Consider the following 20,494-nt stretch of genomic DNA (forward strand, 5'->3'; position numbering starts at 1 on the left):
CCTCACTCCTTTCCTCCCTCACTTCTTCCTTCCTTTCTCTGGGCTGATAGATGAGACAAAGGGGGCTCGCCCAGCCCCAGTTTCTCCATCTGGGCACTCGAGAAGGCGCCTGGTCCCCGGGAAGGTCCCGGGCCGCGTAAGTCTCGCCTAGCGGGAGTCACCATCTTAACGTGCGAATTGAGTTGAAAGCCGGATAAACCTCGAGTGCTCAGCGAGAGGAGGGTGGAAATGGCGTGAGTGTTGCAGCAGAGCCCTTGTGCCTCTTTTACATATTTTCCTTCCATGTTACAGCCGTTTGCGGTCTCGGATTCGATCTAAGCATGTTTGTGGAGTAACAGACAGTCCTCGTGCTTGGAATTGAGTCTAGTCTTGGCAATTCTTGTGGGTCCATGAACCCGCAAGCTGTTGGCATAATTATGCCTCATTTTTAAAACGGCCTTCCCTTCTTAAAGTTTTCTGACTGCAGAAAAATGGTTAGTGAAAAATGTGGAATAATGCCAAAAGGGAGACGATGGACTAGAGATGGGCAAAGCTGCCATTTTCAGACAGTAATCTCCAGCTCTCAGCTTATGTATAAAGGGTTCTTTGCTGTCTGGCTTGACATCTGGAAAGGAGTAGCCTTTCTCGTTCTCAGAGCAGTCGTTCTTGGATAATTTACCCATCTGCATTGGGCTGAGAATGAGACCCTTGGGGTTTCCCTGGAGAGCGATTTTTACTTAATTCAGTAGTATTTATTTAAAATGGCTAACTGTTGAAGTTTGCTTAGGGCAATAGTAGCCTTTTGGTATTGCCACTCTTAAGATAAATTACATAGGTGAAAAAAATTAACATTCTGAGTTCTGCTTTCATAACCAACCGTGTATAAAATACTAGGCTAAGGCTGGAGATGGGAATTTAATGGCTTCCTTACTGCTAGTCCCTGTAGTTGTGATGAATATGACACAGAATACACTCAGTGGCTTAGTTCTTGTTATGTTAACGAAAAGTTCTCGAAATTTGCCCTTCAAACCCTTGTTTTGCCTTTATTTTTTTTTGAAAAGAAACCAAGCCCTTTAAATGGGTTGCTCTGTGCTCACTCATAACCTTTACGTATTAGACTTGAATCCCAAACGAGTGTGCAGAGAAATACGGCCCCAGCCTTTGAGATGGGTCTGCTTAGGAGAGCTAGAAACTGCAAAGGGAAAGGTTATTAACTTTTACAAAATGAACAAGTCAACAAGCATTAAGTGTGTTCTGTAAAAAAGATAAAGCCTTAGCGGAAAGGGGCCATGTTGAGGCAAAGTAGTAAACTTTAAATATAAAAGAAATGATAGCCAAAAGGGATCAAGATAGATCAAGGATCTTGTCTGGTTTCCTCAATATTGTGTAATGATATTCTTAATTGAGTGCTTACAATGTGCCAGGCGCTGCCAGAAGAAAACTTGTTATACATTTAATCCTTTTAACACTGGGAGGTAGTGAAGTTACTCCCATTTTATAGGTGAGGAGACAGTTGCAGAGCATAAGTACCTTCCCAAATGACACAATTAGGAAGTGGTAGAGTCAGGATTCAGGGTCCAGTCCTTACTCCTGATGTTGGGCTCTGTTTGTTGAGTGAGTGAGATTTTTGTGAGGCTAAGTTTGGAAGCCTATCTGAAAGTGGTGACTGAAGTGTTGCCATAATGTGAACTTGGAATTCAGGCTTTGTAAAAATACTAGACTCTAGGGGAAAATATGAGTGATGGAAATTGAAATGATGATCTCTATTGTGCTTATGGTAAAGCAAAGACTGATAGAAGCTTTAGGAATTACTTTAGCAATAAAAATAAATGATTATTTTTATGCTTGGATATTATTTCTACTGAAATAAATACTAAATTCATAGCCTCTAGTTGAGTCAAGAGACCCGTGTCATTAGGTAAGGTGAAGTAGGGAGCAAGTTTTGGAGAATGTATTAGAAAAATCCATTGTATAAAACTTTGTAAATCTGATAACCTGTAGGTTGAGAATTGAAGAGAGTGAGTCATCTTGTTAGAGGATATGATCTGAGGGAAGACTCTAGAATTCTCCTTAAGTGAAATGCACAGCCAATTTTAACATCTGGTTTAGCTCTTCAGAATTTTCATTTCTGTGATTGTGTGTAGTTGAGGCTTTATCTATTACATGATTATTACAGAATAAACTCTGTTAGCTTTCCTGGAGATTCTATTGTTTCTCTATGAATTTGCCTTCACTCTGTTGAAATTGCATTGCCAGACTTCCCAGGACAGTCTAGAAAACCAGCTTGAGCCCACCTCTCTAGTTAATAGGTGAGAAATGTTTCCCTCTACTGGATGAAAAACACCTAGATCCTGGTTAGAAGATTTAAATGTATGTTTTGTTTGAGGATGAAATGTTTATATAGAGTACAAATGGAAGTAAAAGAGTAATTGCAATTTGACCCCAAAAAAGCTACGTGGCGCTCCCATCTGGCTGTTCCTGTACTGAAGTTCTCAGTAAGTTTCTACTTTAAAACAGATTGTTCTAGGAAAGAAGGTTGTTCTAAGAGCAGAGTTATTCTTTTAAGGTGGCTTTATATATTAAATATTTTCCATTTTATCTTTTTCTGTTCTGTAGGGTAAATAAGTATTAGTATTTGTTTAGGAAGAAATTAGGTAGCAGAAGTAACCTATCCCAAGGTCACAGAAGCTGGCAGATCCTTTTGAGCTCTGGTCCTTTGTTTCTAAATGTTTTGTTTATTTGACCTACCTCCCCAGCTAGTTATTTCTGTGGGGAAGCACCCTCAGTTTTGGCCGCTGGGCTTCTAGACAGGCCCACAGCTAATTGCCCTGTAGAGTAGCTGGGTACTGTGCTTGTACAGTGAAAGATGACAATGCTTTTACAAATAGGTAATCAGAAATGGATTCTGTTGAATGTATTTGCATATATGATAGTTTAAAAGGGGATGAAGAGATGAGGTCTTAGCTCCTAAGAATCATTCTGTAGGGAAAGGTTGGACAAGGGATCAATGGAAAGGGAAATAAAGTAAGGGAAAAGTGCGGTCGGGTATTCTGGGGTTCAGATCCAATGTGAGTCATTTGGAGTTGGATGTGGGTGACTGGGAGAGGAGGGACCAGGCGTCCCAAATAGAGCAAGACTTGGGGCTGTGATAGATTTGGCTGCAGCTTAGGGATAGCATAGAATCAGTAATAGTTGAAAAATTTGCAACACTTCAAATGTAAGGTTGAGAAGTTGCTACGCAAGAACAAAGTTTTGTTTTGAACTTAGTTTTGAACAAAGAACATTGAGATAGTAGATGTGTTCAAGCTTGAGAGTGATCTGGCAGCAAAATAGGTTTAGACTGCTAAGGGGAGAAGTAGAATGACTTGATCCTGTGTGAAATCCAGACATAGTTGCAAGAGAGGCATTAACAAATCAGTCTGAAGGACTAACCACTACAGGCCAGGCAGGTGGCTCATGCCTGTCATCCCAGCACTTTGGGAGGCGGAGGTGGGCAGATCACCTGAAGTCAAGTGTTTGAGACCAGCCTGGCCAACATGGCGAAACCCTGTCTCTACCAAAAATACAAAATACAAAAAGCAGCCGGGCGTGGTGGCATGTGCCTGTAATCCCAGCTACTCAGGAGGCTGAGGCATGAGAATCCCTTGAACCTGGGAGGTGGAGGCTGCAGTGAGCCGAGATCATGCCATTGCACTCCAGCCTGGGCAACAGAGCAAGACCCTGCCTGCAAAAAAAAAAAAAAAAACAACAAAAAAAACCACTACTCTTCCATAGGACTTGCTGCCCTAATTAGCTTTTAAGCTCTATGAGCCAGGGGCTGTCTTCTACAGATGGTCTGCTATAATGCTGAATATATATTCCTGAAAAATCTTGAGCTGTACAAAATCATGCAGTAAAGCTTTGGTGGGAAAGGTCAAGTCTGAAAACCTAAAACCAGAGCTCCGATGAGCAACAATACTAATTCAAAATATTACTAGAGTTAAATCTCAACTAGCATTTTTATACTTAGAATCAACAGTCAGTCCACCCTTTTCACACATACTCTGGGGCTCATAGTTCTTCAGAGTTAAGTCCTTGAAGGTATTTCTTTCAAATGGAGACCACTTTCATCAAAAATAAGTACTATCCAAAGGTAGCCTTTTTTTTTTTTTTTTTTTTGAGACAGAGTCTCGCTCTGTCCTCCAGGCTGGAGTGCAGTGGCGCGATGTCAGCTTACTGCAAGCTCCGCCTTCCAGGTTCACGCCATTCTCAAGTAGCTGGGACTACAGGCAGCCGCCACCATACCTGGCTAATTTTTTGTATTTTTAGTAGAGAAGGGGTTTCACTGTGTTAGCCAGGATGGTCTTGATCTCCTGACCTTGTGATTTACCCACCTCAGCCTCCCAAAGTGCTGGGATTACAGGCATGAGCCACTGCACCCGGCTTGGAAGCCTTTTTTAAACACAGGGAAGTGTCACCAACTTCTTCATCTGTGCCTCCAGCTCTCCCAGAAGGTTTCCCGTCATTAAACCAGGCATTAACGTAGAATTTGCATTGGATTTTTTTTTTTTTTCTTAGGGTCTTGGTATAGCTCAAGCTTTTCTCTAATTGAAAAAAAGCTTATACCCCGTCACTTTAAAACATTGACCTGCTAGGTAAAAAATCCATGGTCAACCTGATTTACAACATTATTGATAATACTTATCTACCAATCCCATATAAGTTGGAGCTAAACATAGTTTAGAAGAAAGAACTGTTATTTCTGGTCTACTCTGCCTCTGGTCCAAAAAGAAGTACTAATTTTCTTAATAGTAGGTAGCTGTTTAGCATGTATCAAACCATTTTCATAACCTATGTTCTTTTAAAATGTCTATGTGCATAGTGGGTGTTTCTAATAACACGGCTGGCCTAATTTTGGCTAAATTTTGGTTAAGTGTAGTAGAATTAGGTTAACGTAGTTTCAACCATTCATGATACCCTGATTTATGATAATTTGGAAAGAAAGAATAGCAACCTCGAAACAGTTTCTGAGTAGGCCAGGTGCAGTGGCTCACGCCTGTAATCCCAGCCCTTTGGGAGGCCAAGGTGGGTGGATCACCTGAGGTCAGGGGTTCAAGACCAGCCTGGGCAACATGGCAAAACCTCGTCTCTACTAAAAATACAATAATTAGCCAGGCGTGGTGGTGTGTGCCTGTAGTGCTGGCTACTCCGGAGGCTGAGGTAGGAGAATCCCTTGAACCCAGGAGGCGGGGCTTTCAGTGAGCTGAGATTGCGCCACTGCACTCCAGCCTGGGCGACAGAGCGAGACAGCGTCTCAGAAACAGCAACAACAACAAACAGTTTCTGAATAGCTACAATTTTCATAATAAACCTCTTCATTCTTAGGGGTCACTTGAGGTTCTCTGGATGGCTCCTCCGCTCCCCTTCCCGGGAACAGAAGTGGTATCTATAGTGGTTGGAGTTCCTAGAGCCAAGCCATGACAATTGCATCTTTAAGGGTAAAAGCTGAAACACAAATGGGAATTCGAGGCCCAAGGACCTACAGCCTCTGAAGGCATAAATGCATTACATAGCCCTTGAACAGCACCCTTTTATACATCACCAGCGAGGAGGACCCGTCAGGTGATAAAGGGTATAGATTCTATAAAATAGATCAGGGGTGCCCAAGCTTTTTTTTTTTTCTCGCTCTGTCACCAGGCTGGAGTGCAGTGGTGCAATCTCAGCTCACTGCAAACTCTGCCTCCTGGATTCAAGCGATTCTCCTGCCTCAGCCTCCCGAGTAGCTGAGACTACAGGCGTGTGCTACCACGCCCAGCTAATTTTTTGTATTTTTAGTAGAGACGGCGTTTCACTATGTTGGCCAGGATGGTCTTGATCTCCTGACCTCGTGATCTGCCCACCTCAGCCTCTCAAAGTGCTGGGATTACAGGCGTGAGCCACCGTGCCTGGCCTGGGGTGTCCGATCTTTTAGCTTCACTGGGCCTCATTGGAAGAATTGTCTTGGGCCACACATAAAATACACTAACATTAATGATAGCTGGTAAGCTAAAAAAGTAATAATTGCAAAAATATTTTATAATATTTTAAGAAAGTTTACAAATTTGTGTTTGGCTGCATTCAAAACCATCTTGGACTGCATGCAGTCCACGGGCCACAGGTTGAGCAGGCTTGCAATAGATCATTCTAATTCATAGACTTTTATCCAATAAGATTTAGGGTTGGTTTCCTGTTGACTACTGTCAATACACTATTCTTTTTTTTTTAAGAGTCTCACTCTGTCACCCAGGCTGGAGTGCAGAGGCGTGACCTCAGCTCACTGCAACCTCCGCCTCCCAGGTTCAAGCCATTCTCCTGCCTCAGCCTTCCAAGTAGCTGGGATTACAGGCACATGCCATCACGCCTGGCTAATTTTTGTATTTTTAGTTGAATTTTGTATTTAAATTTTAGTTAAGTTTTGTATTTTTAGTCACCATGTTGGCCAAGCTGGTCTCTTACTCCTGACCTCGGCCTCCCAAAGTGCTGGGATTACAGGCGTGAGCCACCATGGCCGGCCAATACACTATTCTTAAAGTGATAAATGCTTTTCTCCAAATGCTTAAAACCTTAGGTATCTAGGAAAAGACAAAATAACTCTTCAGCAGTGCCAGGTGAGTGGTGTTTTTTTCTGGTAATTATCTAATACATGGGAAGAGGGAGTAAGATTTAGTAGAGTAGTAGGAAGAAAGAATGCTTATGCGAAGATAGGTTGAATAGAGTAGGAAGAGATGTCTTCACTTTTCACCACACTAATAGCGTTGGCTTTGGGGTCTGAGTGTGCTCCAGGTCTGGCTCTGCAACCTGGTAGAATGAGTAGCCTCCTTTTCGTAAATCTTTCATATAGTCACAGCTCTGATTTATCTGGAAGGTTGAATGCATCTTCCTTCATCTCTGTCATCGCTAATGTAACAGACCAGTATCTTGATGGATACAGAAAATCTAGTCTACTCAGAGAAGGGAATTTCAAACCTATGAATGACCATGTGTGGCTCTGTCAACTGTTGGTGTGTCTTTGTAGAATGAGCTTTTATAACCCATCTTTAGAGCATTAATTAGCATGCTAACTATACTAGTAGCTTTGGGGGTGTGATAGAAATGTGTAGATGGCTGTTGTGTGCGTTTAGAGTGAGTGTTGAAGAATAATGCATTGTGATAGGGTTCTAGAGATTGAGATTCTTCCACTTTTGTAGGAGGGGCTTAGGAGCAGCTGCCTATTATTTGAAATCAATATTATTGCAAGAAAAGCAACCATTATGGTTATGTTGCTATGATTCAGCAAATGGCGCCCCCAAAACAAGCCAAAAAAAAACCTTACAATAAATTGTGCTGAAATTTGATTTTAGATTTCTGCATGTATAGATTTTATATATATATATATAGTAAATCTTTTTATATATATATATATATATATATATATATACATAATTTTTTTTTTCTTTTTGAGATAGAATCTCACTTCTGTTAGCCAGGCTGGAGTGCAGTGGCACAATCATGGCTCACTGCAGCCTTGACTTCCCAGGCTCAGATGATTCTCCCACCTCAGCCCCCCGAGTAGCTTGGACTACAGGTACATGCCACCATGCCTGGCTAATTTATTGAGTTTTTTGTAGAGACAGGGTCTTCCTATGTTGCCTAGGCTGGTCTTGAGCTCCTAGACTCAGTCCGCCTGCCTTGGCTTCCCAAAGCACCGGGATTACGGGTGTGAGCCATTGTGCCTGGCCTATAGAAGATATTAATAGTTCAGGCTGGGCACAGTGGCTCACACCTGTAATCTCAGCACTTTGGGAGGCCGAGGTGGGTGGATCATTTGAGGTCAGGAGTTCAAAACCAGCCTGGCCAACATGGTGAAACTCAGTCTCCACTAAAAATACAAAAAAAATGAGCCGAGCATGGTGGTGTGTACCTGTAATCCCAGCTACTCAGGAGGCTTACGCACGAGAATTGCTTGAACCCAGGAGGCAAAGGTTGCAGTGAGCCGAGATCACGCCATTGCACTCCAACCTGGGTGACAGAGTGAGACCCTGTTTCAAAAAAAAAAAAGAAGCTATTAATAGTTGAGTTTTCCCACAGAGTTTTAGTAGAAAAGATATAATGAAGCTGAAAAATGTGAGTATGTAACTAGTAAAAACACGGACTGCTCAGAACTAGTATCTCCAAAATTTATGTAAGAAACAAAATTTCCATTATTGACTATACTAGATATTTTCATCATTCTCAAATTTTTGTGGAACACTTAAAATTTGTATTAGCAGATATGTCAAATCTTTTGTCTAGGTTGGAAAACTCTTAACTGGAAGAACATAGCTAAATCTTTGATAATGAAAGTACACCTTCTTATTAATTTTGGCCTCTGGAAAACAATACTGAATGAACTCTGATTTTTTTTTATTATTATTATTTTTGAGACAGTCTCACTGTGTTGCCCAGGCTGGAATGCAGTTGCGCTATCTCAGCTCACTGCAAACCGCCTCCTGGATTCAAGTGATTCTCCTGCCTCAGCCTCCCGAGTAGCTGGGATTACAGGCGTGCACCACCATGCCCAGCTACTTTTTATGTTTTTGGTAGAGATGAGGTTTCACCATGTTGGCCAGGCTGGTCTTGAACTCCTGACCTCAAGTGATCCTCCTGCCTCGGCCTCCCAAAGTGCTGGGATTACAGGTATGAGCCACTGCACCCGGCTAGACTGTTTTATTTGCATGCTCTTTACAAAACGTGTTTTTTCAAGCTGAATTGCTTTAGTAGTTCCATAAAAATGTAGTCCAGAAAAATCTACATTGATGATTTTCATTTTCAACAGATTCCAAGTGAATTCAACAGAAAAGCTGTAATTCTTGAGTTCCTGATAGTTCTGGAGTGACAGTACTCCACTACGGTGCAACTCCTCACCACCATCCCCAGTTTCTCTTTTATAATCTCAGGCTTTTTAACTTGGTGAAATGTTTTTCTGGAAAGAGAAATGGTCATATAGCACTGAACAATAGAGCAGGTGTGGCGGTTCTTAGGAAACACTGAGTTATGTTTTCATCTTAATCTCAACCCCTTGCCTAAAAAGTTGTTAGTGTCCTCTGTTGTCTGCCTAATTAAAATATAAACATGCTCCAATGTGATACCAACTTTTTTTCATCTGTACTGGTCTAGATCTAGTGCTGGGGACCGCTTCCAAGTGCATGACAGACCCCAGGTGATCACAGGATGGCCTAGCTATCACACTAGTTGGCCTTAAGTTAAAAGACTTTTCACTGTTATTGGGGTTGGGGGCAGGCAGGGGACTGTTTTAATTGTCCTTCTCTCTACTAATGCTGTTCATATTTTTCCACCCTGGCAGACATACGCCATCATCCAGTCTATTCTCTTATCTGGAGTGTATCCCTCAGTTCTTGCTCACTCTTAGTCACTGCCTTCTCCCCACCACCACCCCCCCAGATGTGGCCTTGCCCTCATTTGAACACTCAAATGAACTATTCAAGATGAGTAGGCAAGTACTTAATGAAACAGACAGACTTTCAAATCTGTCACCATGACATCTGTGTGAGACCTCTTTTCATAAGCTAGTTGTTTAGATGGCCAGTCATTTCTATATCACAGATATTAAGTACCCATTTAAAGCGATCATTTTATGGAAAGATAATTTGAAGTTATTGGTCTGACCAAATTTATTCTTCCTGAGATGTCAAGGGACTCTTGGATGATAAGTTACTGGATTAGGCTAAATCGTTTGTCCACAATTTATAATGATATAGATTTATATAGATGTATGTGTTCTTGCAGTTTTTAGACACAAAATATTGAGCATTCTATGTGACTGTATTCCAACCCCACCTCCAAGAATATAAGCTCTTTGAGGGAAAGATGTATATTCAGTATCTTTTCATCACATACAATTCTTGTTGAGTATCACACAATTAGTAGATAAGGAACAAAATCAGCAACTTCTTTCTCCACAGTGCTTCTCTTTAAGGTGGAGAACTTGTGCTGAATTGTCACTTTTTGACAGGAGTCAGTCTGTTCTCTGTCCTTCTAGAGGCTGAAGATTGTAAAGACAAAAGTGAATGGATTTAGTTTGGATACCATGTGCATGATGCTTCTTTCCTGCTAGCCCATTTTCATGATTCTGATTTTCTTTCGAAAAGCATTTTAAAGTGGTAAGGTTTTGCATGAAAATTTAAGTGGATAAATAACTAACAGTTACATATTTTACCTGTTCTGAAAAGGATATACCATTAATTGGCTGTAGATGTCCAATATGTGACCCTTGAGATGAGCACTTGAAATATGACTGGACTAAGGAATTGAATTTTAAATTTTATTTAATCTTAAATTTAGCCATATGATGCTAGTGGTGACTGTGTTAGCTGTAGACCCTCAAAAGCATGAAAGGTTCAAAAGTAGCAGAGTTTAGGACAGACTGGAATTAATTGGCAGATCAAGGGCCCAGAGGAGCCCAATTCTATCTGCAGGTTTGTCAATTTAGATGAGTAGACAAGTGCTTAATGAAACATGCTGGATTTTAAAACTACCATCACCAAAAGTTGGATATTAGCACATCTGCCTTAAGCTAGTAGTTTAGATGTGAATCATTTCTGGACCATAGATAATTACTCATTTAAATTTATCGGCCTTTTTTTTGAAAGATACATTTGGCTGGGTGTGGTGGCTCATGCCTGTAATCCCAGCAGTTTGAGAGGCTGAGGCGGGCAGATCACCTGAGGTCTGGAGTTCAAGACCAGCCTGACCAGCATGGAGAAACCCCGTCTCTACTAAAAATACAAAATTAGCTGGGCGTGGTGGCGCATGTCTGTAATCCCAGCTACTTGGGAGGCTGAGGCAGGAGAATCGCTTGAACCGGGGAGGCGGAGGTTGCAGTGAGCCGAGATTCTTATATCATAAATTACTGGATTGTGCTAAATCACTTATCAAATTTATATACTATTTTCATGAGGCTTTCTAAAAAGTAATTTATGAAAGAGAGATGTTGAGACACAAGGGTTCCATATTACTCATTTTTGGAAGAAAAGTTTAGTCATGCTGATGTCTTGTAGATGCAGGATTGGTTTTAAATCTGAAGCATAGACCGGGCGCGGTGGCTGACACCTGTAACCCCAGCACTTTGGGAGGCCGAGGCAGGTGGATCACGAGGTCAGGAGTTCAAGACCAGCCTGGCCAAGATGGTGAAACCCCATCTCTACTAAAAGTACCAAAATGAGCTGGGCATGGTGGTGGGAGCCTGTAATCCCAGCTACTCGGGAGGCTGAGGGAGGGAATTGCTTGAACCAAGGAGGCGGAGGTTGCAGTGAGCCGAGATTGCACCACTAGACTCAAGTCTGAATGACAGAGCGAGACTCTGTCTCAAAAAAAAAAAAATCTGAAGCATAAAATGTTTCTTCAGAAAAGCAGACACATCTTATACTAATGGTTTTTCAACATTATTAATCTCCTGTAATTTAGCTCTGTCTTGGAGAACTGGAAACATCATAGTCAATGACCTAGATACATGAGACTTTGCATTTCATTTATTCAGGACTGCAACATTTTGAATATGGATGATTTTGAACTCCCTATTTACTATTTACTAAGTGATGATGTACTTTTCAGGCGGCTAGCCACCTGCGTTATGTCCCATTATTAACGTAATCCAGGAAGTTGCTTAGAGAGCATAGAATTGTGTAACAAGAATTTCATCTAGGCAATAGAAACCAGTTTATTCCTAACCCAAACCTAGTGACCAGAAAAAGAGGCCTGTAACTCTGCAGTCCGGACCAGTAGTTGCTGTTTACTTTTCCAGTGATGCGAGACAAACTCTTAACATTTTTATTTAACTTAAAAACTAACATTCACTTGCCAGTCTTGATAGAGGGCCAGTGCCTTTGGTTGCCATAGATCCTCTGTAAGCCTCCAATTTTGAATAAAATACAAAGGTTTTGAAATCTGATTTGTAGTTTCTCTGTTGAAAGTAGAATTTGAACTTAGAGACCCTTGCATGCACTTTTGGATTTTTAATTTTCTTTTTCTAATTTTCTATAAAGTCTCATCTGGGTATAATTTGATAATGTAATAACCCCCCCTCCCTTTTTTTGAGACAGTCTCATTCTGTCGCCCAGGCTGGAGTGCAGTGGCATGATCACAGCTCACTGTAACCTCGACCTCCTGGGCTCAGGTGATCCCTTCCACCACAGCCTCCTGAGTAGCTGGTATTATGGGCACATGTCACCATGCATGGCTGATTTCTGTATTTTTTTGTAGAGGGAGTTTTGCTGTGTTGCCCAGGCTGTTCTCACACCTGCCCGCCTTGGCCTCCCAAAGTGCTGGGATGGGATTACAGGCGTGAGCCACCATGCCTGGCCTGGAATGCTGCTTTTCTAAGAGGAGGTTCTATGCCTAAATAGATACTCTCTTTTAACTCAGCATTTTGGGGGCTTGAGAGAAGGGTGGGAGTTGCTGAATTGTCAGCTTGAAACTTTCCAGTTTGGAAAAGTTCCTGGTAACTTAGTCAAATGAGAGAGGACTCCTGTGCTGGCTGAGAACTCTTAAAGGCCAGCAGCTCCTGGCAGCAGGGAGGGAGCAGGGCAGATAGAAGTGCTGGCATGCATTTAAAAGAAAAAAAAATCAGTCATGGCTCTTGCCTGTAATCCCAGTTGGGAGGCCAAGGTGAGAAGATCACTTGAGCCCATGGTTTTGAGACCTGTCTAGGCAACATGGCAAGACCCCACCTCTACAAAATAATACGAAAATCAGACTGGGCATGGTGGCTTACTCCTGTAATCCCAGCACTTTGGGAGGCCAAGGCAGGCAGATCACTTGAAGTCAGGAGTTTGAGATCAGTCTGGCCAACGTGGCGAAACCCCATCTCTACTCAAAATACAAAAATTAGCTGGTCTTGGTGGGAGGTGCCTGTAATCCCAGCTACTTTGGAGGCTGAGGTGGGAGAATCACTTGAACCCGGGAGGCAGAGGTTGCTGTGAGCCAAGACCATGCCACTGCCCTCCAGCCTGGATGATAGGACGAGACTCCATTTCAAAAAAAAAAAAAAGTACAAAAATTAGCCAGGCCTGGTGGTGGGTGCCTGTACTCCCAACTGCTCGGGAAGCTGGAGTGAGAGGATCACTTGAGCCCGGGAAGTGAAGGCTGCAGTCAGCAGAGATTGTGTCACTGCACTCCAACGTGGATGTCCAAGTGAGACCCTGTCTTAGTTATCATCATCATCTCTATGCACACTGGGAATTAAACTTCGTGATAAACCCTATGTGTTTTCGAGGGAGAACTGTTTAAATTTACTTGAAGGTAGTATACTAAGATAATTTTGTGGACACTTTTGTTCAAATTGACTTATTTATTTTTATTTTTTATTTTTTTGAGACAGAGTCTCACTCCATTGCCCAGGCTGAAGTGCAGTGGTGCAGTCTCGGCTCACTGCAACCTTCGCTTCCTGAATTCAAGCAATTCTTGTGCCTCAGCCTCCTGAGTAGCTGGGACTACAGGAATGTGCTACCACACCCAGCTAATTTTTGTATTTTTAGTAGAGATAGGGTTTCACCATGTTGGCCAGGTTGGTCTTGAACCCCTGACCTCAGATGTCCACCCACTTCAGCCTCCCAAAGTGCTGGGATTATAGGCATGAGCCACCACGCTCACCTTGAGTTGATTTTAACTTAAGTGAAGTTCAACCTAAGCTAGCCCACAAATATTCCTTTGTTTCCCCCCCCCCCTTTTTTTTTTCCTTTTTTTGAGACAGAATCTAGCTCTGTTGCCCAGGCTGGAGTGTAGTGGCATGATCTCGGCTCACTGCAACCTCCGCCTCCCAGGTTCAAGTGATTCTCCTGCCACAGCCTCCTAAGTAGCTGGGATTACAGGTGCCTTCCACCACGCCCGGCTAATTTTTTGTATTTTTAGTAGAGATGGGGTTTCACCATGTTGGCCAGGCTGGTCTTGAACTCCTGACCTCAGGTGATCTGCCCACCTCAGCCTCCCAAAGTGCTAGGATTACAGGCATGAGCCACTGCGCCCGGCCAGATATTCATTTAAAAGATGGGTATGTAATACCTGTTACCTGTTAAATAAAATCTAGGATACTTGTCTAAGGTAATAGGGTATTTTTGTAACAATTTGTAGATTTCAGTCTTTTTTTTTTTTTTTTTTCCCCCGAGATGGAGTCTTGCTCTGTTGCCCAGGCTGGAGTGCAGTGGTGCAATCTCTGCTCACTGCTCACTGCAACCTCCGCCTCCCAGGTTCAAGTGATTCTCATGCCTCAGTCTCCCGATTAGCTGGGATTACAGGCATGCACCACCACACCTGGCTAATTTTTGTATTTTTAGTAAAGACGGGGTTTCACCATGTTTTGTCCAGGCTGGTGTGGAACTCCTGACCTCAGGTGATCTGCCCACCTCAGCCTCCCAAAGTGCTAGGATTACAGGCATGAGCCACTGCGCCCGGCCAGATATTCATTTAAAAGATGGGTATGTAATACCTGTTACCTGTTAAATAAAATCTAGGATACTTGTCTAAGGTAATAGGGTATTTTTGTAACAATTTGTAGATTTCAGTCTTTTTTTTTTTTTTTTTTCCCCGAGATGGAGTCTTGCTCTGTTGCCCAGGCTGGAGTGCAGTGGTGCAATCTCTGCTCACTGCTCACTGCAACCTCCGCCTCCCAGGTTCAAGTGATTCTCATGCCTCAGTCTCCCGATTAGCTGGGATTACAGGCATGCACCACCACACCTGGCTAATTTTTGTATTTTTAGTAAAGACGGGGTTTCACCATGTTTTGTCCAGGCTGGTGTGGAACTCCTGACCTCAGGTGATCGCCCACCTCGGCCTCCTAAAGTGCTGGGATTATAGATGTGAGCCACCACGCCCGGCCACATTTCAATCTTAATGCTATTCTTGGTAAGGGGTCCATAGACTTCCAAATTAAGGGCCAGACAAACATTTTAAGTTTTGAGGGCCACACAGTCTCTGTCACAACTGCTTTGACTCTGCTGTTGCATCATTAAAACAACCAGACAATATGTAAAAATGAGTAAGTGACTCGATTCTAATAATTCCATCTGTGGACACTGAAATTTGAATTTCACATAATTTTAAAATGTAAAAATACTTCTGGCTCACAGACTGTACAGGTGGTGAGCTGCAGACTGCCAGTCCTGTTCTAGATCATAAATGATAGCTGCCTGTTAGAAGAATGAAGTGACTTTTGCCTATGTATGCAGGTTTAAAATGTGAAGGATGCTTCTTGCCACCTAATCATAACAGTAACAAGCACTCTGTATCAAGAATCGTCTTTATGTGCATTTCCCTATTTCTTTCTCACACATCTGTTATCTTCTTAGTATTCTTATTTTTTAGGTGAGGAAACAAGGTAACCTACCTATGGTCATTTCCTTAAATTTGGAATATTCCATAACTAAATAAACTTATGTGACCATAGACCTCAGTGCATACAACTCTGGCTAATAAGCCAAGTTTCTGTTTTTTGTTTTTTTGAGATGGAGTCTCTGTCACCCATGCTGGAGTATGGTGGCACGATCTCAGTTCATTGCAACCTCCACCTCCTGGGTTCAAGCGATTCTCCTGCTTCAGCCTCCCAAGTAGCTGGGACTATAGGCGCCCGCCACCATGCCTGGCTAATTTTTTTAGTAGAGACGGGGTTTGGGGTTTCACCATGTTAGCCAGGATGATCTCGATCTCCTGACCTCTTGATCCGCCCGCCTCGGCCTCCCAGAGTGCTGGGATTACAGGCGTGAGCCACCGCGCCCAGCCAAGTTTCTGTTTTTATCCTTTGTTATTATCCAATAATTTGAGAGTTTTACCACCAGTAGTTTATTTCATTAGATAAGGTGATTTGGTAGTGTGACCATGTTAATGTTAATTCTGATTTCAGAAAGATGGTGTTTAACAAAGGTTGTCAATTGCATTTTTGTGGTGTAATGCGTACCCCCTAATTTTAATTAAATTTTAAAATATTTTAATCTAGAATAGAGTTATAACCTTGCAGAGGTTTGAGAATGTTGTTTATATACGAAGTGCTTCTCAGGCTGGAAGTATACAGTTATGGTTCACCTTACAGGTGCTGCTGGTGAGTAGCAGCCGGTACCCAGACCAGTGGATTGTCCCAGGAGGAGGAATGGAACCCGAGGAGGAACCTGGCGGTGCTGCCGTGAGGGAAGTTTATGAGGAGGTGAGATGTTCTTTCACACAAATTCTGTTTCGGAGTTTTAAAAACAAGGCCCTTTGCTACATAACACTAAGACAGCGAGACGGGTCCAGGAGTGCTTTTTGCCTGATGCAACTTTATTTTTAATTTTAATTTTTTTTTTTATTTTTTGAGATGGAGTCTCGCTCTGTTGCCAGGCCTGGAGTACAGTGGAGCGATCTTGGCTCACTGCCACCTCCGCCTCCCAGGTTCAAGTGATTCTCCAGCTTCAGCCTCCCGAGTAGCTGGGATTACAGGCACGTGCCACCGCGTCTGGCTAATTTTTGTATTTTTAGTAGAGACAGGGTTTCACCATGTTGGCCAGACTGGTCTCAAACCCCTGACCTCAGGTGATCCGCCAGCCTCAGCCTCCCAAAGTGCTGGGATTACAGGCGTGAGCCACTACACCTGGCCTTAATTTTTGTATTTTTAGTAGGGACAGGGTTTCACCATGTTGGCCAGGCTGGTCTCGAACTCCTGACCTCAAGTGATCCTTCTGCCTCGGCCTCCCAAAGTGCTGGGATTACAGACATGAGCCACAGCGCCCAGCCAGAAATACTAATTTTTGATCAGTCCTTGCCGCTGATGAAGTAAATGACAATAAAAACTTCACAGAAGCAGGAAGATAGTGAGTTGGTATGGGGAGGGGTATTGTATTTAATTAGATTTAAGTAAATAGCCAGAGTGTAACTTGTATTTATATACATTTTGTTATAAAAAGGTAAACATTTTATATTTCATCTTTTTTTAATAGGCTGGAGTCAAAGGAAAACTAGGCAGACTTCTGGGCATATTTGAGGTGAGTTAAAAAGTAATCTTCACTTTGCTGATAATAGAATTAATGATTTCTTCCTAACCAACCAAATAATGTGGCAGCAGCCTGAACCAGACATTTCTCTCAGACTAGCAGTAGGCAGTCAGTCCAGGATTAGGTAGGGAGGGAAGTAAAAGCCACTTTTTCATATGCCACCACTTTTATTTATTTATTTTTAATTAATTTTTTTTAAGACAGAGTCTCGCTCTGTCGCCAGGCTGGAGTTCAGTGGTGCAATCTTGGCTTACTACAACCTCTGCCTCCCAGATTCAAGCAATTCTCCTGCCTCGTCCTCCCAAGTAGTTGGGACTACAGGCACGCGCCACCACGCCCAGCTAAGTTTTGTATTTTTAATAGAGATGGGGTTTCACCATGTTGGCCAGGATGGTCTCCATCTCTTGACCTAGTGATCCGCCCACCTCGGCCTCCCAAAGTGCTGGGATTACAGGCGTGAGCCACTGTGCCCGGCTGCCATCACTTTTATATAGCATTATTATGGTAGTGATTACTTCTGTTTGAAAATACAGTGGAGCTGATACTGAAATGTTTATCTTAATCCACTGTAGACTGTTTAGGGTATAGATCTTTTAGGAGGTACAATATTTTTAGTATGACCTAAGAGCTTAGGTCTCATGTGTTTTATCTGGAAATGTCCCCATTGCCCTTAGCAAATATTATATGATACACCTAGTGACTTAAAGGATTGTACGAAGATATAAATCTCAGGTACATAGAACAGATGCTAAAAGAATAGAATTCTCTTTCATATATTCTCTTATTACTGAAGGCAGAATAGAATTTTCAGGGAGGGAATTTGAATGTGATAGGCAGTCTCTGGAAGCCAGGGAGAAAGGAGGTCCAGATGTATCTTCATCCAAGATTCAGACCTAGATACACAGTATACCAGAAACATGGTCACTTTCCTTTTTTCAGGGTGCTGTTTATAGGTTAGTACAGCCTTTATAGTAGAACCATATAAATTTTATTTTTAAGCCTTAGGAATTCAGAAAAAATCCCGATTTTGTAGCACTTGGTAGAATTGATGATGACTTTTACCGGAATACAGTAATTAAGAGTAAAGTTGGCCGGGCGTGGTGGCTCATGCCTGTAATCCCAGAACTTTGGGTTGGCCAAGGCAGGAGGATCACTAGGTCAGGAATTCAAGACCAGCTTGGCCAATATGGTGAAACCCTGTCTCTACTAAAAATACAAAAATTAGCCGGGCATGGTGACGCACGCCTGTAGTCCCAGCTACTTGGGAGGCTGAGGCAGAATGGCTTGAACCCGGGAGGTGGAGGTTGCAGAGCGGCACTCCATCTCAAAAAACAAAGAGAAAAGTCGTTCAAGTAGAATTCAGTCTTTTCCAGAATTCAGCAGTTGCTTCACCCAGTTAAATAGCACCATCTCCTGGTTAAACTGAAAAACATACTGAGGTTTTTACAAATAACACATTTGTCAATATGCTGACAAGGTGTTTGAAGAAAATGTCTCACATTATAAATAAAGCTTAAATAATATGGGAAGGTAACAGTATTAAGTGCTTTACAAATACTGTTTAACAGCACACGTCAATCAAAAAATACCTTTCCCCTTAGAAAATATAAGGGAAAATTGGATTGCCCTGCCCATTCATCCCAGTGATTTTTGTGAATTTGTGAATATAGCATAATAAATGTACTGATTTGTGAGACATAGAAATAAAACAACTGATTCTTAAAAATAATGAATGATGTGTTAATTGACAGTTGCCTCTAATTTATTGTTGTTTTTATTCCTTCTCAGATATAAAAAGATAATCCTTCCCAGCTGTAAAAACCCACTGTTTTGAGTAGATTTTTCAGGTTGTTTGTGGCCAAAATCAGGACAATTATCTAAAGTCGTGGACTATGGCAAAGAAGGCTAACTTTAATCAGGATGAAGGAAGGCCAACTTGTTTAATTTTTAACCCAGAAACAAGCTCAGTTGCCTGTTTTATTTAATTTATGTTTTTTTTTTTTAGATGGGGTATCATTCTGTCATCCAGGCTTTAGTGCAGTGGCATGATCTGGGCTCATCGCCACGTCCGCCTCCTGGGCTCAAGCGATCCTTCACTTCAGCCTCCCAAGTAGCTGAATTACAGGCATACAACCACGCCCGGCTAATATTTTCGTATTTTTAGTAGAGACGGGGTTTCACCATGTTGGACAGGCTGGGCTCGAACTCCTGACCTCAAGTGATCTGCCCGCCTTGGCCTCCCAAAGTACTGGGATTACAGACGTGAGCTTCTGCTCCAGGCCATGGGCTATTCTTTATGTGCACCTTGATAGGCCTGCAGGAGGAGTGCTTAAAGGAACTGGTGCTGTTTGCTCTTACAAAGGTCCTAAAGGAAGCAGTTTTCCATGTCATTGAAAGGTTGTCAGGATTAGCCCCAGGGAAGAGGGGATAGGATAAAAACTATGGGAATGCAGGTCTATTATTTTAATAAGATTGCATTCAACTCTTAAGATTTTCTTTATGAAAATAACATCAGATAGGCCAGGTAAGGTGGCTCACACCTGTAATCCCAGCACTTTGGGAGGCCGAGGTGGGTGGATCATGAGGTCAGGGTTTAAGACCATCCTGACCAACATGGTGAAACCCCGTCTGTACTAAAAATACAAAAATTAGCCAGGCGTGGTGGCGTGCACCTGTAATTCCAGCTACTCGGGAGGCTGAGGCAGGAGAATCACTTGAACCTGGGAGGCAGAGATTGTGGGGGAGCTGAGATCACGCCACTGTACTCCTGGGCAACAAAGCGAGACTCCCTGTCTCAAAAAAAAAAAAAAAAAAAAAGAAAAGAACATCAGATATATAGAAATAAGTGTTTAAAGTTTAGTACTGGAGGCTGGGTCCTCATACCTGTAAGCTCAGTTTTTGGGAAGGCCAAAGCAGGAGGTTCCCTTGAGGGCAGGAGTGGACCAGCCTGGGCAACATCTCCAGACTTCTACAAAAAAAGTAGTATTGAGAGCCAATTTCACCACCAGTAATGATGAAGCTCTAGTTCTAGTCTTCTGTTTAACTTTTAAATGTTTTGTCTTATATAAAGTCACTTTTGTGTTGGACTGTACAACTGAATATACTTGCCTGTGCTGGGAAATACGCTATGCTAATCAGCAGTATGCCAGACTAATTTTTTTCCCTTGGAAAATGTGTCCATGGCTAGCTCCTGTAGATTAAAATGCATTTCTTTTTATATTCAAGCAGAACCAAGACCGAAAGCACAGAACATATGTTTATGTTCTAACAGTCACTGAAATATTAGAAGATTGGGAAGATTCTGTTAATATTGGTAAGTTCCCTTTTGTTATCTGAATACTCTGTTCTAACAGAAGATTGGGAAGATTCTGTTAATATAGGTAAGTTCCCTTTTGTTATCTGAATACTCTTTGCTTATATTCCTGTGTCCAGTTTCCATCCTAGATTTTTTTTTTTTTGGTCACTTTTCATTTAGAGCAGGGAAGATAATTCAAATGTAGAGATGCATA

General features: G+C 42.2%; 1 protein-coding gene across 9 annotated transcripts in view; it reads left to right on the forward strand.

Moving 5' to 3' along the window:
• The window catches only part of NUDT4 (nudix hydrolase 4), a 30,222-nt gene that overhangs the window by 633 nt on the left and 9,095 nt on the right, over window positions 1-20,494 (forward strand). The window contains exons 1-5 of one of the 9 annotated variants that reach the window (XM_047428136.1): window positions 21-233; window positions 2,431-2,474; window positions 16,052-16,162; window positions 16,932-16,976; window positions 20,211-20,298. In XM_047428136.1, coding sequence (XP_047284092.1) covers window positions 16,109-16,162; window positions 16,932-16,976; window positions 20,211-20,298 — 187 coding nt within the window. In that variant the 5' untranslated portion in view covers window positions 21-233; window positions 2,431-2,474; window positions 16,052-16,108. Of the gene's footprint in view, window positions 1-20; window positions 234-2,430; window positions 2,475-16,051; window positions 16,163-16,931; window positions 16,977-20,210; window positions 20,299-20,494 lie in introns of those variants that run through there. The other 8 variants (XM_047428137.1, NM_001301022.2, NM_001301023.2 and 5 more) reach the window with 8 other exon arrangements.

This window comes from Homo sapiens, chromosome 12 (genome assembly GCF_000001405.40).
Source record: "Homo sapiens chromosome 12, GRCh38.p14 Primary Assembly".
Taxonomy (NCBI): domain Eukaryota; kingdom Metazoa; phylum Chordata; class Mammalia; order Primates; family Hominidae; genus Homo; species Homo sapiens.